The sequence below is a fragment of the Homo sapiens genome, chromosome 4 (genome assembly GCF_000001405.40).
Source record: "Homo sapiens chromosome 4, GRCh38.p14 Primary Assembly".
Taxonomy (NCBI): Eukaryota; Metazoa; Chordata; class Mammalia; order Primates; family Hominidae; genus Homo; species Homo sapiens.
This window is the reverse complement of record NC_000004.12, coordinates 15,521,504-15,541,502: the sequence shown is the minus strand read 5'-3', so window position 1 is coordinate 15,541,502 and position 19,999 is coordinate 15,521,504. Positions and strand designations below refer to the sequence as shown.

The following is a 19,999-nucleotide window of genomic DNA, read 5'->3' as shown; positions in this document are numbered from 1 at the left end:
TTGGGGAACAGATCTCTTTCTTCCAAGACTTTAAGAACAGATGTGCCAAGGAAGAGGCTTGAGACTCTATCGAGACATATTTATAACCAATGGATGATTTAAAATCATCTCAAAGCTGTAATGAACAAAAAATTATTGGGGCAGTAACTATAATAATAATAATAATTATTATTACTATTGTTTTGAGACAGAGTCACACTCTGTCGCCTAGGCTGGAGTACAGTGGCATGATCTCAGCTCAATGCAACCTCCACCTCCTGGGTTCAAGAGATTCTCCTGCCTCAGCCTCCCGAGTAGCTGGGATTACAGGCACCCGCCAGCACACTTGGCTAATTTTTTTTTTTTGTATTTACAGTAGAGATGTGGTTTTGCCATGTTGGCCAGGCTGGTCTCGAACTCCTGGCCTTAAGTGATCTGCCCACCTTGGCCTCCCAAAGTACAGGCATGAGCCACAGTGCCCGGCCAGTAACTATAATTAAAATGTGTACCTGAAGTGTTAAACTCTCCGGCCAGTTGACTATTTGCAAATTGAAAATCTGCCCAAAGTGAACTCGGAAGTCTGCTCCTAGTGGCCGACTGACTGTCCTGGACACCTCCTTGTTGTTGAACAGCACTTTTAAGTACACTGAGCGCTTCTTTACATCCTCCCTTCTCGAGACCTCCGCTCTGCAAAAGGAGACCATTCACAGGTGGAGTTAGTAATAATTTACTAAGATCACCAAAATATATGATAAATAAGAACTGAACAGAACAAGACACACTGCAGGCAACTCTCCCAATCATGTCAGCCCTCATTTAACCAGAGGAGCCACAGGTCTTGCAGAGTAGTATGGAATTTATGGAGAAGCCATTAACAGACACTGAAAAGGGCACAGAGGATTTAAGAACTAGAGTCCATTCATTGTTGTGCTACAGTCTCCTCAGGTTTTTCAGGCAAGCTTTACATTTGTGTCCCAAAGTTTTAAATTCACATATTCCTTGTTAAATGGAATAAATTCAAGACAAAGGGGATAATAATGATTTATATTTGAGTAAGAAGTTTTATTCTAAAAATACAGCAGCATATTGTAGCAGTTAGATCGAGTTCATTTTTCCAAGATACCAAGTTTTTCTCAACATTTTCAGACAGTAAGTGAATGTTCAATGGATGCAGAGTATTAATAAATATTCCTTATTTTTAAAGATAATTTGAATCAGAAAGTTAAAAAAAAAAACAACCTCCCATTGGTCTTTAATTTTATTGTACATATGTGTATAGACATCCACCAAAAAATGCCAGTTATTGGTTAAGTCAATAGCAATTCAAGCTAATTGAGGAAAGGAAAAGGTTAGGGCATCAAAATTTGAAACAAGCTTAGGTTTTTTTTGGGGGAGGGGTGGTAGTTTATTAAAAATTGTTCCATTGTGGAAAATATATATAACATAACGTAATGTTTATCACTTTAACCATTTTTAAGTGTATGATTCAGTGGCATTACATACAATTACTATGTTGTCTAACCATCACCACTATCCACCTTCAGAGCTTCTTCATCATTCCAAACAGAAATTCTCTAGTAATTAAAGGGGGTGGTAGTTTTAACTTTTTACATGTCTATAATTTAGACTTATTCTAGATGAAATAGCTCAAATTACTTCAGCATTTTTTTAATAAAGGACACTTCACAGCAAATTTGCAAGAAGTATCCAAGACACTGAAGACTTAGACTCCACTCATAAAAGATTACCAAATCAAGCCCAAATTTTCCTTTTAGAAAGCATGCTGTGTCATCACATATTTTGAACATTCATGTCAAAATTAAAATTATAGGGTATGGTACTTGTGCCTTGAAAATTGCTTACTTAGTGCAGGGGAATAGTTTATGTATAATATCTTAATATGTGAAGTTGAGGGAACACATGAAAATGCACAAAAAGCTATAATTTTAAAATAAATCAATCATTAGAATAAATCAATCATTAGAACATTAGCAGAAGTTTGAAACCAAGACTGTGAGAAGTCTTATAATGACATCCTAATTAACTCCCACGTTTTAATGAACTCGGAGGCTGACTGACTTTATTTGAATTCTCATTTTTCACGTTGGGATATTGAAGATTCCAGTGTACAACAGTCCCTGTATTCATGATAGATCTTCTATTTACTGGAGAACTAAGCCTGGGATTTTGTGGTATCGATGATTTTAATGGACTCCCTTTAATTAATGATGATATACCATAACATGCATCAGAATCACTTGGAGACCTTGTGAGAACAGTTTTCTAGGCCCCACCTCAGGGTTTCAGGTTCAGTAAGTCTCAGGTAGAACTTGTGAGCTTGCATTTCTTTCTTTTTTAAAATTATTTTTTAAATTTCTGTTTAGTTGGTTGACTTTAATTATCTGGCTAGTTTTTATTAATCTTTCTTAAACATATTTATTTCAATGTGAGGTATTAAAAATGTTTGGGGTATTTATTTATTTATTCAATAGAGGTGAGGTCTCATTTTGTTCCCCAGGCTGGTCTCCAACTCCTGGCCTCAAGCGATCCTCCTGCCTCAGCCTCCCAAAGTGCTGAGGTTACAGGCATGAGCCACCATGCCTGGCCTGAGTTTATGTTTCTAACAAGTCCTCAGTGATGCTGATGCTGCTGATTCTGGGGCTATACTTTGAGAACCATGGCTATTCAGTGAAGGAAAGAATAAATAGGAAACATAAAAATATTTTTATTATGTTATAATTTTTAAAAAGATGAACTTACAAATGTATGTTTATGAATTATTATATGTACAAATGTATATAAATCAAATGATGTTTCTCTTAGGCATCAAGTGAGAATGACTAGACATGTATTTTTATCATATCTGGAGGGTGTGCTTCAGATGGCCTGACTTAAATACCACCCACAACTTTCTGGGGGGTCTTCAAGGAGAAAAGCTGATCCCTGGAGCAGCTGAAATCAAGGAAGGGGCAAGGAAAGGCATCCGTGCCTGTGCCAGAAAGGTGGGACATGCTACCAGTGGACTGAAGGACTCATTGAGGTTACAGATAAGGGACTCAAATCAAAAGCCACACAGACAGCCACTGTGAAGAGCAGGCAGAGATTTGCAACTGGGATGCTTCTCCTACAGGGAGCTTTCCAGTGTGCTCCTGAGTGGCCAGTGCAGATGCATGAGGTAGGTGAATCATATGAAATCACCTAAAGTGGGCAAATGTCAGCAATTTCATGTGGTTCAACCTAATATTCATTTAGAGTTAATGATACTCCTGATGCTCGTGTAGGTCAGTAAGTGTACACTCCCCATGTCGTGCATGTGTGTGTGCATGTGCCCACGTGAACATGTGTATCAGATGTCAGCCTCATTTACGGTCGGAGCATCCACTCACCTGGGGCACTGGTCATTGGGTGTTACGCTTCCTGCCAGGCTTAGCTCCGGGACCAGCGTGGGCTCCCAAGGCCTCCTCCTGCTCTGGGCTGCTCTCTCCCTCACCTCCTGCTCTATCACTGCCCGATCAGTGGGCTCTGGAGGGCTGGGCTTCACAAGGTCCTCCTCGGGATACGGCTCTGCAATCTCATCACCGGGATGTTCTTCTGCTGCTTGTTTCCTTTTCTTCTTCTTGGCCCTCTGTTGAGTTAGAGGCAACATGATATCAAACAGGAATTTTGGAATTTCATTTAAGAGCACAGTCTTCATAGCCAGATGGACCTGGATACAAACCCCAGCCCCATTTCAACCAGAAGTGTGTAATCAGGCAGGTCACTAAGCCACCTGACCTCTCTGTGCCTCAGTTTTTTCATCTACAGAATGGAGCCCAGGAAATTTCTCCCAGGGCTGTTGAAATGAGACTGTTGAAATGCCTAAAAAGCATTTGTCATACAGCCTAGTCCCTGGAAAGAGCTTAAAAAATGGTAGGTATTCATGTGATCATTAATTTTGGTTTTCAAGGCGAAGTACACATCTTGAAATATTAAAATAAGGCATGTAAGCACAGTGAGCATTGCAGGCCCACCTGATCTATTATTTGTTGCCCTTGGACTCAGTTTTGTAGGGTCATGTGCATAAAGTTATATAATTTTCTGAAGGAAACTCAGAAGCATCAATCCCTACATTTAATGGAATAATGCATGTAAGATACTCAGCACAGTGCTGGACACATGCATTAGTGATTACTACATTATTACTTAAATAGGCACAGAGTGCTACCATAGCATTCTCTGTGGACACAGCTGGCTCTGGTATCAGTCAGCTGGGTGGCTTTTTAAGCAAATGCATTAGCCAGTCAATTCATTCATCCTTTTATCCCTTAGCCAGGGGACGGGGAAGAGACAGAGGGAGCCACAGGATACCCTAGTCTGCCAGTCTGGTTTCCCCACTCCTGTACTGGAGGCTGCCCTCCCAGACACTTCCTGGCCAGCCCTATTCCAGGCTGAGTGTTTGTTTACACACTTGCACTTTCCTCCAGGCCTTCCACTGTTGTAACGACGTTCTGTATTCTTCCATCTTCTGTGCGTACTCCTCCGTGTGCTCTTCTAACAGTTCACTTATTTCAGCTTGAATTTCTGCTTCATATGCTTCTTCATCTGCTTTCTGGTCAGCTTTTTCCCTTTAAAATAATTTGTAGTCCCTTGGTTATTTCTGGAAATTAAGTAAGAGAGCAATAATAACAGCAAATACTTATATTGGACTTGCTATGTGCCAGTTCCTCTTCTAAAAATGTCGCACATGTAAACTCACAATCCTGTGAGGCAGATGCTATTATTATCCACATCGTATACATGAGATGACAGAGGCACATAGAAGTTAAGTAAGTTCCCAAGAACACACAGCTGGTGAGTGGAAGGGCTGAATATGAGCCCAACCCACTGAACACTGAGCAGCCATGCCTCTCTGTGTTAAATGATCTGTGTGGTGTGCTGACATGGGGCCTGTAAGTTCTCAGCTGATAGTGGTGGAAATTTCATTAGTTATTTTATGACTTCTTCAAGTCTCTGAGGAACTGCTTCATTTTGTTGCTACTGAGTCCCTGAAACCACTTTTTAAAAAATTTTAATTTTAATTTTTTAAAATTATACTTTAAGTTCTAGGGTACATGTGCACAACATGCAGGTTTGATACATAGGTATACATGTGCCATGTTGGTTTACTGCATGCATCAACCCATCATCTACATTAGGTATTTCTCCTAATGCTATCCCTCCCCCAACCCTCCCACCCCCGACAGGCCCTGGTGTGTGATGTTCCCCGCCCTGTGTCCACGTGTTCTCATTGTTCAATTCCCACCTGTGAGTGAGAACATGCGGTGTTTGGTTTTCTGTCCTTGTGATAGTTTGCTGAGAATGATGGTGAAACCACTTTTTTGACTTTGGATGGAGGATTTGGGTTTTTCTTTGATGATTTTGCTTATACTCCACCAGGAGATCAGCCCAGTTCAAACCACCGTTTCCCACAGTGTGTTCTGTAGGACATTAGTTCTGTGAGATGTACCACCAGGAAAAGATATTGTGGCCATATTAACACTGGATTAAATAAGTGTGAAAGGTTCCTTGCTGGTCATCTTTTCAGAGCCCTTAACATGTTGATGAACAGCATGGCTCTCCTGGTAGATGGCGGCAAATGTGTGGTGACTTCATCCATCCCACCCAGCACTTTGGAGATGGTGCCGAATACTGACTGCACTATTTCCCCCAAGGCAGTTAAGCTTCGTAATCCATTTTACATAAACTTAGACAAGTGCATAAAGCTGACAAATATTTGCTTATGGACACATATCGCCTGGAGTTTAAGCAGTTTACAGTCCCCCAAGGCACAAGCTCTTGCAGCTCTCTAGGATGACTACCAAATAAGTCACTTTGGATGCACAGTGGTACCCGAAATTTATAAACACCAGGGGGAATTCGGCTTCAAAATTATGTTCCATCTCTGATATACAGAAAACCATTCACTTTTCTCATTGTTATTCAAAAGCATGAATAAACTTGAATAGTTTTTTTTTTGTGGGAAAAACTATGCTTTATTATAAGGTGGCTAGATGAATCAAGAATGTGAAAAAAGGGTACTCCAAAAGAATTTGGAAGATAGCCACTTATCAGGGGAAGGAGTGTTATGACCTTATGGGTAAAATGCCTATAAATTTAGTTTACCCTATAAACTCAAAAAGAAGGAGGGGAGGGATGGAGGGAGAGTTAGCAGCAGGGATGATGGGCGGGATGGAGGGAGAGTTAGCAGCAGGGATGATGGGAGGGAGGGAGAGAGAAAATAATCTGGCAAGGATTTCTGTACTGCTTCTGTGGGAGGCTCAGCCTAGGAGATGGAATTCGAAAGCACAAACACTGGAATTTCTGGGAGACAGCCATTATTTTTGTGGGGTAGCATATTTGAATTTGTTAACCAATATTAACTGAGCAGATACTAAGTGGCAGGTGCTCTTGTAGGGACCAAATATACAATGGCAATAGGGTCCCTGCTCTCAAAGATCACACAGTCTTACACTTGTCCTGAAAACTAACCTTTTTTTTTTCAATTTTATAATTACAGCTAAAGAAAAATTACAATTTGCAGCTATCTTTGGCTGAAATATGGCTGTTTTCAAAGCAATGTGTCAGATAACTGCCTAAATTTGTTACTATTGTTAACCAACATTAACTGAGCAGATACTAAGTGGCAGGTGCTCTGGTAGGGACCAGATATACAACGACAACAGGGTCCCTAGTCTCAAAGATCACACAGTCTTATACTTGTCCTGAAAACTAAGCTTTTTTTTTCTTTCAATTTTATAATTACAGCCAAAGAAAACTTACAATTTGTAGCTATCTTTGGCTGTAATATGGCTGTTTTCAAAGCAATAGGTCTGATAACTGCCCACATTTGTTACTATTTGTGTCAGTATATGGGTACAACACTTATCCAGGTGAAACAATCAGAAAGGGACCAACACCAGCAGCATAGATGCTCTTGTTGTGATAAGCTGTACTCTTAAGCATATATAAAAGTCTAGTGAATTAGGTAGCAGAAATATTATCAAAGCTTACTTTCTCCACACCACAAATGAAGGTCAATTCCAAATAAATTAAAGATGAAATGTGAAAGCTAAAATTATAAAGGTTATAGGAGACAATATCATAGAATATCTATATGACTCAGGGGAAGCATTTAAAAAGCACCAACAGTAAAAGAAAAAACTAATGTATTTTATCTTTTTAAAGTTAAGAATTTGTATCCATCAAAAAGCAACAAAAAGAGAGTAAAAAGACAACTAATGAGTAGGAGAGGATATCTGCAATACACACCACTAACAAATTCCCATGTTATATGCAGAATGCCTACAAATTACCAAAAAAGATAACAAGATAAATAATCCAGTCCAAAAAGTGACCAAAGCCTTGAAGAGACACCTCACAAAAGAGGAAATCCAAATAGTCAATGCATGTATGAAAAAATGCTCACCTTCATGAATAGTCAGGAAAATATAAATTAAAACATGTCAGCAGGTCAGCAAAATGTTAATTAACACCACCAAGTGATAGGCATGATATGGGTGATAAGCACCTACGAGAACCCCCATGAAGGCATGAATCAGCACAACTTCTGGAATACGTTTGGAATCAGCAATGTAAAGTTGAAATGAAATCTTGGGCACATGTACCCTAAAAGACAAGTACAAAAATGCCAAAAGTACAGAAGTGGTTTCTGTAACAGTTGAAAATGGAATAAACTCAAATGCCCATCAACAGAAATGGACAAGTTTGGCTATATTCATATAATGAAGTATTGTAAAGCAAAGAAATCTAACTACAGCTATGTGCTGTCAAGTAGATGAATCTCACAAACACAGTACTGAAGAAAAGAAGCATGTATGTATTCCCTAAAGAATACACACAACATACTTTCAGTTATGTATAAGTCAAATACAGGCAATATTAAACTATATATTCTTAGAGATTGCACATAGTTGGCAAAAGTATAAAAGCAAGAAAACAATGATCACAAAAGTCTAGGTAGTTGTTATTTTGGGGATTGAGGAGAATGTTATTTGGGAGGGGCTGCTCAGGTATGCAATGTTCTATTTCTTAACCTGGGAAGTGGTTACATGCATATTTGTTTGTAATTACTTTTAAAACTGTATCCATGTTTTATACATTTTTCTTAATGTATGATATAGCCCAATAAAATAATTTTTCAAAAAAGCCTACTTTCTCAAAACAAGTTTCAAGGGAGTATTTGTAAATCTCTGGAACTCTCGAAGGGATTTCATCTCTTTCCAAACTTTTATGATAGTCTTAAGCAATGTTCTATCTTTTTCTTGTTCAGCATCACGGAATTTTCTTGTTTGTCTGCAAGATATAATAACACATGAGTATATATTAAAAAGTCAGGTGTGTTTGCAAAAGAAATTAATAATGCTACAGTGATTGTATATTCAATTTGATAGCTACCGTATTTTGAAACAAGTACAGAAAACTAAATACAAATGTGAATGTAAAGACAATAGGATGTCAACCTGTCTTGAGAGATTTACTTGATTTTGTTCTCTTTAGGCAGATCTGACTTTAAGTACTTAAAAAATTTGTATTAAAACTATGCATCCTTCAACAAATAGTCACCTTTGAAGGTAAGAAAACAAAGGCAGTTCTCATGGACTAAATTATTATAAACACAGCAAAGTATGCTGCTGTCCTAGTTAGCAACAAATACATGTAAAGTCTTCCTGTGTTAACACAAATCACAAGTTCCACACTGAGGAGATGAAGTATTGTTATTGCATGCCTTGGAGATTTTCAATATTCACTAGATTACCAATATTTTTGGCTTGATCTGAAGAGGCATCATTTGCAAATGGTTTCATCTTTATTTAATACCTTACTTTAAGTTCTTTTTACAAATGATAGCCATGTTTAGATACCAAATGCATTTTGTTGCATAATGAGACAATTACTAAATTTTTGAACAAGTGCCATGAGTCATTCCACGGGATTTAGAAGTGTCTAAGAGACAGAAGATATCTCCATATGTCCATCCTCAGGGAGTTTATAGTTTAGCTCAGGGGACGGACACATACATAAATGATATCAGTGTGAGGTTTGTCTAAGAAAGTATCATGAGGAACCAAGGATGTAGCATTTCACAAATTAGCACCTCATGACCTCCAGAAGGCAGGCCTAAGTCTGGAGGTTGTACGTGTGATGACTTAGTGGTACAGAGAAATAAGGGGGTCTAGGTTTCTAGTAGATCAACTGGTAGCTGTAGAAAAGGAAGATGGCAGAAAATGATAGTGGTTAGGTAGTCAAGATCTAGGACTTTCTGAAGCCCTTAGAAAAGCAAAAAAGCAACAAACTAGAATAAGAAATATTCTCTTTGAGGACCAGTAAAGCATTGTGGTTAAGGGTGCAGTTGTTGCAACCAGACTACACAGGTTTGAATCTTGGCTCTACTATTTACTAGCTGGATTGGGTAAGCTACTTCCCTTTGCTGGCTCACATCTGTAAAATGGGTATGGTAGGAGTTGACTGCACTGGGTTGCTTGGAGGAGTTAATGAGCTAATCCGCATAATGTGCTTAGAACCTTGCCCGATACCAAGTAAGAGGCCTACAAATCTTATCTGTCACCATCAGGTGGTCAGTTCGTCTCCTATGCCTTTAGCTGTTATCACCCCTGCTTCAGTTTTAAAAACCACAATATAAAATTATTTTACTGAGTTACATGACATCTTCAGGCTTTCTGATATATTTTCTACTTTCTTTTTTAGTATCTAAAAAAAAGATAGTTTCCCAGAAATGCTAAAAAGAGCTCTTAGCAAGAAAAATTTGCATACGAGCTAAAGAAGCAGAAAATTACAAAATAATATTTAATTAAAATTTGTGACCAGAGCTGGGGAGGAAGAGGGAAAGGCAATTTTGATTAGGGAGTCAGGAACAGTCTTCTGAAATCTGATATCGATGGGGTCTGGACGGTGCAGTGGACTCCTGCTCAGAAATGAAACTTTGGGAGCCACTGGCATCTGGGTGATGTTTAAAGCCACAAAGTGGATTCATTTCAGGAGAAAATGCAATTTAAAAAAGGGGGTAAAAAGAAAACAACAGTAACACCTGAGACTCGGAACACGTATAAGCTGGACAGAGGAGAATGATGGTCAAAGAATGATGAGAAGGACAAATGGCTGGAAAGGGACGAGGACACCCAGGAGAGGGTGGTGTGTGGAGATGCAGGCTGTCCTGACAGGCAATGCGTGGGGATGGTGTCTGCGTTCAAGCACTGAGCAGGCTGAGAGGTTCCATTCCACTTTCCCAGGTGGAGGTCCCCAGGGGCTGTGGCAAGATTTGCTTCAGAGGAAAGTTGGGCACAGGAGTGAGATAGGATGGTTTGGAAATGGGAGAGAGCGGAGATAGTATGAATAGCAAATGTTTTCCTGGTGTTTGGCTGTTAAAGGAAATATAGAGATAAAGTAGTAGCTGGATGGGGACTTGGGGTCATAGAATTTTTATGTGTTCAAGACTGAGCACATCTGAGGGCAAAGACCCTACAGAGAGGTTAAGTAAAATATTCCTATGTTGCATGACCATTCATGTTTTCTTCCTTCTACATCCTGGTTTCCGTTCAGAGGATAAGGAATGTAGTCATGATGCCGCTATGGAAAATAAAATGGAAAATGCTTTATGGTGCTGGCCCGGGTTAACTGCACCAGTGGAGGGCTCAGCAGATGCTTGAGGTGGGGAGTTCTCGGGGGTGGCTGATCAGATCCCAGGGGGCTTGAGGAAATGGATCCATGTGATGAAACATCCAGCAATAGACCATCTGCTTAGAAATTGTTTTACCACCTAGTGAAAAGTCAGCAAGGGATGGAAATCTCTTTTACTGGGTCAGAAATGCTAAATCTCAAAGACTTTCATCTCCAAGGGCACAGAATTATTGTAATGGGTCTGCTGTCCATGACTCTGCTGGGCATTGTCTCTAGATCTCACACGTATTTCTGATGTTTTTCAAATAGTGACCAATAAAGACAGTTCCATATAAAATCACAATTGCTTTCAGAATAGCTTTTTGTCACTTTTTTCTTAATGTATGCCAAAACAAAAATTATTCTCACAAGGAGACTGCAATATGTTTTCCTTTTAATATAAAAAATAATTTTTATTTAAAAATATACTCCATATTTTTGCAATTATAGGTTACAAACTTCACTAATTTCTACTTTGCTGGAAGAATTTCCAACTCATAGCTAAATTGCAAAAAGAAAAGTATACATTGAAATGCCTCTGGCCGGGCGCGGTGGCTCACGCCTGTAATCCCAGCACTTTGGGAGGCCAAGGCGGGCAGATCACGAGGTCAGGAGATCTAGACCATCTTGGCTAACGCGGTGAAACGCCGTCTCTACTAAAAATACAAAAAATTAGCCTGGCGTAGTGGCGGGCGCCTGTAGTCCCAGCTACTCGGGAGGCTGAGGCGGGAGAATGGCGTGAACCCGGGAGGCGGAGCTTGCAGTGAGCCGAAATCGCACCACTGCACTCCAGCCTGGGCGACAGAGTGAGACTCCGTCTCAAAAAAAAAATAAAAATAAAAAAGAAATGCGTATGTAACAAACCTGCACGTTGTGCACATGTACCCTAAAACTTAATAATAATAAAATTAAAAAAAATAAAATTTAAAAAATAAATAAAAAAATAAAAAGACCTAAATAAATAAATGGAGAGATATACCTTAAAAAAAAAAAAGCCTCGATTTATTATTTCCTGTTCTAAGGATTTGTTCTGTGGAAGTACTCATACAGGTACACAAATATAATATTTAGGAATTTAAATTACAGTAGAATTACAGTAGAATTTAAATAATAAAAAATAGAATAAAAATGCAAATGCGTATCAGTTGAGAATTATACAAACTACAATAAATCTACATAATTCCAGCCTTTAAAGCATGATATAAATCTACATGCACTGTAACAGGAAAATGTCTAAGATGCATTGTATATAAAGAAGCAAGTTGCAGAATGGTATACATGATATGATTCCTTATCCATGTTGATACCTGCAGATATGAGTCAGTCATTTTAACTGTGGTACAGAAATTCACTGTAAGCGTATATCAAGATGGGTTTACTCTGCTACTGGGTTATTTCTAGTGGCTTCCTTTTTTCTTTTTTTTTTTTTGAGTCAAGGTCTCACTCTGTTACCCAGGCTGGAGTGCAATGGTGCAATCCTAGCTCACTGCAGCCTCAAACTCTTGGGCTCAAGCGATCCTCCTTCCTCAGCCTTCCGAGTAGTTGGGACTACATGCACATACTACTATACTCAGCTAATTTTTTAAACTTTTTGTACAGGCTAGTCTCAAACTCCTGGCTTCAAACTGTCCTCACCTTGGCATCCCAAAGTGCTGGGATTACAGGCATGAGCCACAGTGTCCAGTCTGTCTTACTCTTGAATGATGCTGTGCATATCTTTGCACATGTCCCCATGTACATATGCACACATAGCTCCTTAAAGAACATCTTGTATCTGAATCAGAATTGCTGGGTCCAAACTGATGAGCTTCTTCAACATTCTATGAGTTGGGGCCAAGCTGCTCTCAGAAGCGGTAGCTGTAGCACTTTTCCCTTACACCTGCAGAGTGACCATTTCCTTACATCCTCATTCACATTATTGGACTTCAAATACTGTGTTAATATGATAGATGTATTTGATTGTTTTATATGGCATAATTTCACATGTATTCATTGCATTCAGAAAAAGTATCTGGAAAAATAAACTCTAACAAGTGCACATCTAACGGGAAAAAAAGTAGTTACACTTAACAAACTTTACTCACCGAATTTCAGATTTATACTCATTGATGGTTTTTTGGATGGTATCGAGAGACTGATGAGGTTTTTCTGGATCAAGGCCAGTCTGAACAGCATTTCTTAAAGCTTGGAGCTTAAAACGACATGGATACAAGTTTTGGGTTACAAACTCTATTCCCTACTGCAGTGCAACTGGACCCACCCACTTCTCCTGGGCAAAATGGTGCCATCAGTCTGTGAATGGAACGGATGTTCAAGCATCTGGCTGTCTCCAGACTTTCACATAAATGAATTATGATGGAGAACTGTTTCATCTGTTCTTGAAGAAACTGGATTAGTAAAGCATAGTGTATGTCCATCCTTGTTCCATGGCCCAGAAAATCAAGCTGCTTATGAAAATATTACTTTTATGTGTATATCTTAGAACCAAGTTTTCTTCCAAAGCTAAAAGCATGTTTGTCTGGGTCCAGGACATATGATGGTATTCTTGTGATATAAAGAAACTATAAAATTACAGACTCGTAAAACGAGATATTGTGAAGTTATCTCTTCTTTGGGCAGTAAGGTTTTAAAGTCAGGGCGTGAGACCAAAATTGCCTATAGTCAAAATTACCCACAAAAATCCCATGGGATAGTGTCACATTGGGAATAAATCCAAATGCTTAGCCATTCCTTTGAGCATCAGTTGAAACACTGACTTGTGTTTAAGTGCTACACGATGGGGTAATAAATATCAAGATGAGAATGTTTCTAAGGACAGATATTCTCAAGCCACCAATTTTCTCAGGTTCTGAGATCACGGAAGCAAGTAATAGCCACATATCTTCCACCTAACACCCACTTCTGGTGGGTGCTGTACTGTTTACAGAAAGTCTTCTGTTTAGGGCGAGTGTGTGCCAATAAATTTGTACACATCACATGTATACCAACTCTATCTTTCCCTTTTGTCTCTAGCTGGATAATGTATCACACATCCTAAACCGAGGAAACATGTGAAAGAGGGGCATGAACATTTTGCTGTTAGAAATTTTCATTGTTTGGGCTCATTGGAAGAACCAACTCCATTGACAATCATTATGGAAGAAATCACATGTACCTTATCAGTAAGAAATTTCGCCTTGTTTCTCTGGTGTCTTGCAAGGTACTGGTCATATAACTGGGCCAGCTTGGCTGCCAAAACATGCTCTCGGCTAAAACAGGGATGATGAGTGAAGATTAACCCTGAAATATCAATGTCCAGTTGGAAATTTCCAGGAGGGTCTCCAGATCTGATCACATGCTGACTACTGTGAACGTATTTTACAGCCTGCCAAGGAAAGCAGAGTGTAGACAGAACACAGTTAAAGCACTTACTAGATAATGATTCTCTAATCCACAATGGGAAAACGGTCAGATGCAAAATACCTCCTATCCTGGACTAGTCAGGTGAAAAATGCTTGATTACTTATTTCCAGGTTTTAGAGGCCAGCTCTTTTTTGAATATTTGAACAGCAAAATGAAAGACTGGGAGTTAGAAAAGAAACCATTTCAATCTTGCTTTCCTAAGTCTTTTAGGTTTCATTACTTGCCTAAGTTGTAGTTCTAATCTTTTTCATGCAGACTACCTTGTTTCTTGGAATCTTGGGTTTTGTAGCTGGTGACCTTGAAATTCTTTTACTGGGAGGAGCATAGATTCTAGTTCAAACCGATCATTATTTGGATCCTGGACATACCCCATGTATTTACATTTTAAAACATGTGGAGAAGGCTTCATTTTGTAGATAGCAGCAAGGGACATCTACCTAACTGAGCATCATGCTGGCACTCAGTCTTCATGGGGAGGAGGGATGTTGGTTTGCAAAATAAGAGTGGGGGCTGTGCAGCTGAGCCAAGTGTGTAGAAAACAGAAACAGAAGTCTCCAATAGGAATGTCTTGGATCGTTTGGTATATAATGTATCAGATACATCTCTTTGCTTTTCTTCCTTAAAATCCTCAAGATATTTACTTTGATTACTACAGCTACTGTGGGTGGGAGCTCAAGGGTGGAGAGGAGACATCTTTGATTTTGTGCCTTTATTTTTTCTCATTATAAAGACTGACTATAGTAAGGATATGGTGGTTGAGACATCACTTGATCCTTCCTTTTTGCAGAGATGAGCTATTTATCTAGAAAATGATAATGTATGATAATGATAATGTGGCATAAGTGAATTATTTACAAATCATGAGCTTAAAGGAAAAGTGTAAAAATTCTAATCAGAAAAGAAGCTTTTATTCTCCCTAAATTATGGGTAACATGTTCAGCAAACTCTTCATTTAATTCTTTTGCATGGTGTTATGTAAACATGCTAGATCTGGGCTAGGAGACTTGGATTCTAGGCCTGGCTCTACCTTGAACTTGCTCTGAGACCTTGGGCAAGTCACTATACATCTCTGGGCCTCTAATTTTTCATGTGTAGAAATAGGAGGCTAAGGAAAAAGATTAAATTAGCATTTCGTAGATCACTAGGTATCATATCAGGCATTTCACACGCATCATCTCATTTACTCAACAAAGATTAATGGATGTCTACAGTGTGATACAGCCTGTCTTCAAGCAGCAATCAATTTAGAAGGGAAGACAGCCCTAGGATCTAAAAGCATGAAGTCTGGGATGTGCAGAGGGAGGTAGGAAGCCCAGCCCAGAAGAGGGGATTCCAGCATTAGAGTCCTATGATTATAAGTTTTGAACAGATTGTTTTATTTTAAAAATGCCCTTGAAAACTGGAATGTGCTTACAAATATTTTAGGCTCAAATCAGGATGAATTGACTATATTGCAGTACTTTCTGGAATATGCTGTATTTCCCAAATCTGCATTACCCCACATTCCAATAATTGCTGGTGGTCTCTGCTTTTTGCTTAGCCCAACCAAGTATAAAAAGCTTCCAGGACTCCTTGCAGCCACTGGGCTAGACTGCCCAAAAGACCACAACTCCCATACTATTAGAGAGAAAGACCTCTAGTTCCTTTTCTCTTTGTTGTATCTGTTCCCTTTCTTATATATCGAGAACTATTATGAACACAGTAACAACAATTTCTTCCAAGAATCTTCACTTGGATTTATAGAAGGAAAAACCACTGGGACATGGATCAGCTTCCACTGGTCTTTTGTATCTTATGAAAGCCCTGGGTGGCCTTTCAGAGATCAGATCTGGTCATTAATATCCCTACACTTCAGACTGCAACAATGGAGGGCCATTTTTTTTTTCTCTTTCATTCAGGTATAAGTATTCAATTATAAACTGCATTAGTATTATTAGTTTTTAATCTCCATGTGACCACTCTGTGTTTTATAACCCAGATTACCTGGATTAATTAAAAATTTCCACCTCACAAATACATGTACAACTAGACTTCAAACCACAGACATAATGGAAAATTCCTCTCTAATTGCTTTGCAGCTGCTCATTCTTGCTTTGCCTTGCCTCTTACCTATGGGGTTCCAGAGTTATGAGATCACTCAGGGTGTGGCTCTCAGGTTCCATCTTGTACGCTTCTTGGTATGAGTAAATAACGTGGGTAGAGTGGTTCTATTTACTTGTAATGCAACTTAGGTCACCTGTACTTTGCATCTCCTTCCACAAATCTGCATTAGCCTAAGTTCCAAAACCTGCTAGTGGTCTCTGCCTTAGACTCAGCTCAAGCAAGTGTAAAAGTGTTTCAGGACACTTAGTAGTCATTGGGCTAACTGGATCAAAAGACCTCAACTCTCTTCCTATTAGGGAGAAAGACACCTAGTTCCTTGTCTTTCTTTTTGTTGCGTCTGTTTTCCTTTCTTATTTATTGATGACTATCATAAACACAATAGCAACAATTACTCCCAAGGAGGGATAATATTTAGAGTATATTTTAACTTTAAAATTGATTTGATTTTTTAGTCTTCAACTGAAAACTGAAATGCTAAGAGGTGATGAATATGGATTATCTATTGATGTTCTCACCATGTGCAGAGATGCATACCAAAGGAGAAAAAAAAATTAAAGCCGGGTGCGGTGGCTCACGCCTGTAATCCCAGCACTTTGGGAGGCCAAGGCGGGCAGATCACGAGGTCAGGAGATCGAGACCATCCTGGCTAACACGGTGAAACCCCGTCTCTACTGAAAATACAAAAAAATTAGCCGAGCGTGGTGGCGGGCACCTGTAGTCCCAGCTACTTGGGAGGCTGAGGCAGGAGAATGGCGTGAACCCGGGAGGCGGAGCTTGCAGTGAGCCAAGATTGCGCTACTGCACTCCAGCCTGGGCAGCAGAGTGAGACTCCATCTCAAAAAAAAAAAAAAAAAAAAATTAAAAATTTTACAGAAGGCCGAGTGCAGTGGCTCATGCCTGTAATCCCAGCCCTTTGGGAGGCCAAGGCGGGTGGATCACGAGGTCAGGAATTCAAGACCAGCCTGGCCAAGATGGTGAAATCCCGTCTCTACTAAAAATACAAAAGTTAGCCGGGTTTGGTGGCGGGTGCCTATAATCCCAGCTACTCGGGAGGTTGAGGCAGAGAATTGCTTGAACCCAGGAGGCGGAGGTTGCAGTGAGCCGAGATTACACCACTGCACTCCAGCCTGGGCAACAGAGCGAGGCTGTGTCTCAAAACAAACAAACAAAAATGTACAGAAAATTAATAATCATTGGTAAGTTTAAAATACAAGTTTCTACATTTGCCCTGAAAAAATAATAGCAACAAAGTCTGGGTCCACCTCAGAGCCTGCAGTAGATTCTAGAATTATTATTCTGGTCTTCCCTGGGAAGATTTCTCCTTTCCCGTCTTCTGGAAACATGCCATGTTTTCTGGACATGAGGTTAGTGGATAATGATCCACTTGCCACTGACTAGAGTTTATTTTTTGGTATTGATAATGTGAACTGTGGGGAAAAATATGATTCTTTCCTTCTGGAGTTGTTAAGCTTAGGCTATCAAAGGACACATCCCCTTATGTGTAGAGAATTCTGTCATGCCTGCAATTGCAGAGAATGAGGCCCACCAGTATTCAAGAAGAATCAGAGAAAAGAGGGGTGGAAGAGAGGCCTGCCGGCATCAAATCCCTGGTCCTAGCCCCTGAGACCTTGTTTCCTAAAGGTTCTCCTTCATTTTATGATTTATTCCCAGATCCTTTCCAGTTTTTTGAGCCACTAAGTTCCCTCTTTGCTTAAGCTAGTTTGTGATGGGTTTCTGTCATATGCAACCAAGAGAGTCTTGTGTAGTGAAGTGCTTAGAACGCAGCAGATTAACAATGCTTTGGTGAAAAACTGGTGAGAACAATGATGGGAAAGTGACAGTTTTATCTAGTGGTACCTCTGCGGGAGCTTGGAATCATGACACAGTCCTCCAGTGGGTATGCAGTTCTGAAAAAGGGAGGCTCCTGCACATTGCAGGGCCTTTAACACCTGCTTCCATTTCTGTCTTTCCAGCCAAGGCACAAAGTCTCTCTATGGCCAAGCTAAGATTGCTCCCTCTGTATTCCCAGAATTTAGCACAGCTAAGAATATAGTAGACTTTTAGTTAAGTATTTTTTAGTTAAGGATGGAAGTAATAAAAAAGGAAGGAAGGAAGGAAGGAAGGACAAAGGAAAGAGAGAGAAGGAAGAGGGATGTTTGTACTGCTTTTCAACAACTTTTTTTTTTTTTTTGAGATGGAGTTTTGCTCTTGTCACCCAGGTTAGAGTGCAATGGCATGTTCTCTGCTCACTGCAACCTTCGCCTCCTAGGTTCAAGCAATCTCCTGCCTCAGGCTCCTGAGTAGCTGAGATTACACCCACTCACCACCCCCACCTAATTTTTGTATTTTTAGTAGAGACGGGTTTCACCATGTTGGCCAGGCTGGTCTTGAACTCCTGATCTCAGGTGATCTGCCCACCTCGGCCTCCCAAAGTGCTGGGATTATAGGTGTGAGCCACTGCGCCGGGCCTGCTTTTCAACAACTTTAACCCTACTTTGCTATCATGATTAGGCAAACTGCATTTTATATTGTTTATGTTTTACCTGCAATGTCCTATCTAGCATTTTAATTTTTTACTTTTGCACTAATTACTTCTTAAGATGTATTAAATTGTATTCTTTCTTATTGGAAGTTTAACAGTTTTTCTTTGCATGACAGCTAATTCCTTTTTGCATTTTTCTGTCTTTAATTGTCTCATCTCAATTTAAGAACATCCTAATATTGAGACAATATTAGGAACAGAATATTTCACTTTTAAAAACTACCCTTTTCCCCCTCTGTAATTAAAAAAAAAAAACATTCAAAAAGGCAGGGCTGAATACCAACTCCCTTCTAAATAAAACTCTTAAATTCTCTAATAGGAGGGCGCATGATCCATCATTTGAGTCAATAGCATAGTATTTCTAACCAAAGAACAACTGGGCTTGACTCAAACGGGTGATCAGTGTTGGTCGATCCTGCCGGGTGAAGTTAGCATCAGATCCAAGCGCTCTGAGGCATAAATTCATCAAGGCTCTGTTAAGGGCCCAAGGAAATGCCAACTTTTGTTTTCTTAACATTTTTCCTTGTATGTATGTATGTATGCATGTATGCATGTATTTTTTAGAGACAAGGTCTCGCTCTGTCAACCAAGCTGGCGTGCAGTGGTGTGATAATAGCTCACTACAACCTTGAGCTCCTGGGCTCAAGTGATCCTCCTGCTTCAGCCTCCTGAGTAGCTGGGACCACAGGCATGTGCCACCATGTCTGGTTACCTTTTTATTTTTTGTAGAGGTAGGGGGGTCTCACTATGTTGTCCAGGCTGTTCTCAAATTCATGGCCTCAAGCAAACCTCCCACATTAGCCTCACAAAGCTTTGGGATTACAGGTGTGAGCCCCTGCTCCTAGCTGTAATTGCCAACTTTTGATTTGGCACTCTGACTTGGTTTTCCATTATGTGGATGCCAGGACTAAACCAGAACCTAAGGAAAGCTAGTATTTTGCAGGATAGACAGCTGAGTCAGAGATAGGCATAGAAAAGAAGGAATTTCTTTTAATACACGCAGCAAAGTCATTTTAATGACATTCAATTTGCGCTTTTATTGAGGTATTTCTATGTGCCAGGCACACTGCTAAGTAGAAGACTGTAATCCAGTTCTGGTCCCTAAGTCACTTTCAGCATAGCCAGAGAGGAGAAAGAAAATGGATTAACAGTACATGAGCAAAACAATCTTCGCCTGCCGACCTATTGCCTTGCTCTTGCATCATGCCAGAAACTCCTAGGTGGAAAGTCTGTTTGGAAGTAAGACTGAAAATAGAGGCT

The 19,999-nt window shown here is 39.7% G+C and overlaps 1 protein-coding gene across 5 annotated transcripts in view; it reads right to left on the bottom strand.

Annotated features, from left to right (window-relative positions):
• CC2D2A (coiled-coil and C2 domain containing 2A) overlaps positions 1 to 19,999 on the bottom strand; it is a 131,693-nt gene that overhangs the window by 60,055 nt on the left and 51,639 nt on the right. For all 5 annotated transcript variants that reach the window (NM_001080522.2, XM_047416010.1, XM_011513872.4 and 2 more), the window contains 6 exons: positions 13,847 to 14,056; positions 12,777 to 12,883; positions 8,170 to 8,310; positions 4,427 to 4,583; positions 3,366 to 3,604; positions 489 to 666 (listed from right to left, as the gene is read on the bottom strand). In NM_001080522.2, coding sequence (NP_001073991.2) covers positions 489 to 666; positions 3,366 to 3,604; positions 4,427 to 4,583; positions 8,170 to 8,310; positions 12,777 to 12,883; positions 13,847 to 14,056 — 1,032 coding nt within the window. The remainder of the gene's footprint in view (positions 1 to 488; positions 667 to 3,365; positions 3,605 to 4,426; positions 4,584 to 8,169; positions 8,311 to 12,776; positions 12,884 to 13,846; positions 14,057 to 19,999) is intronic.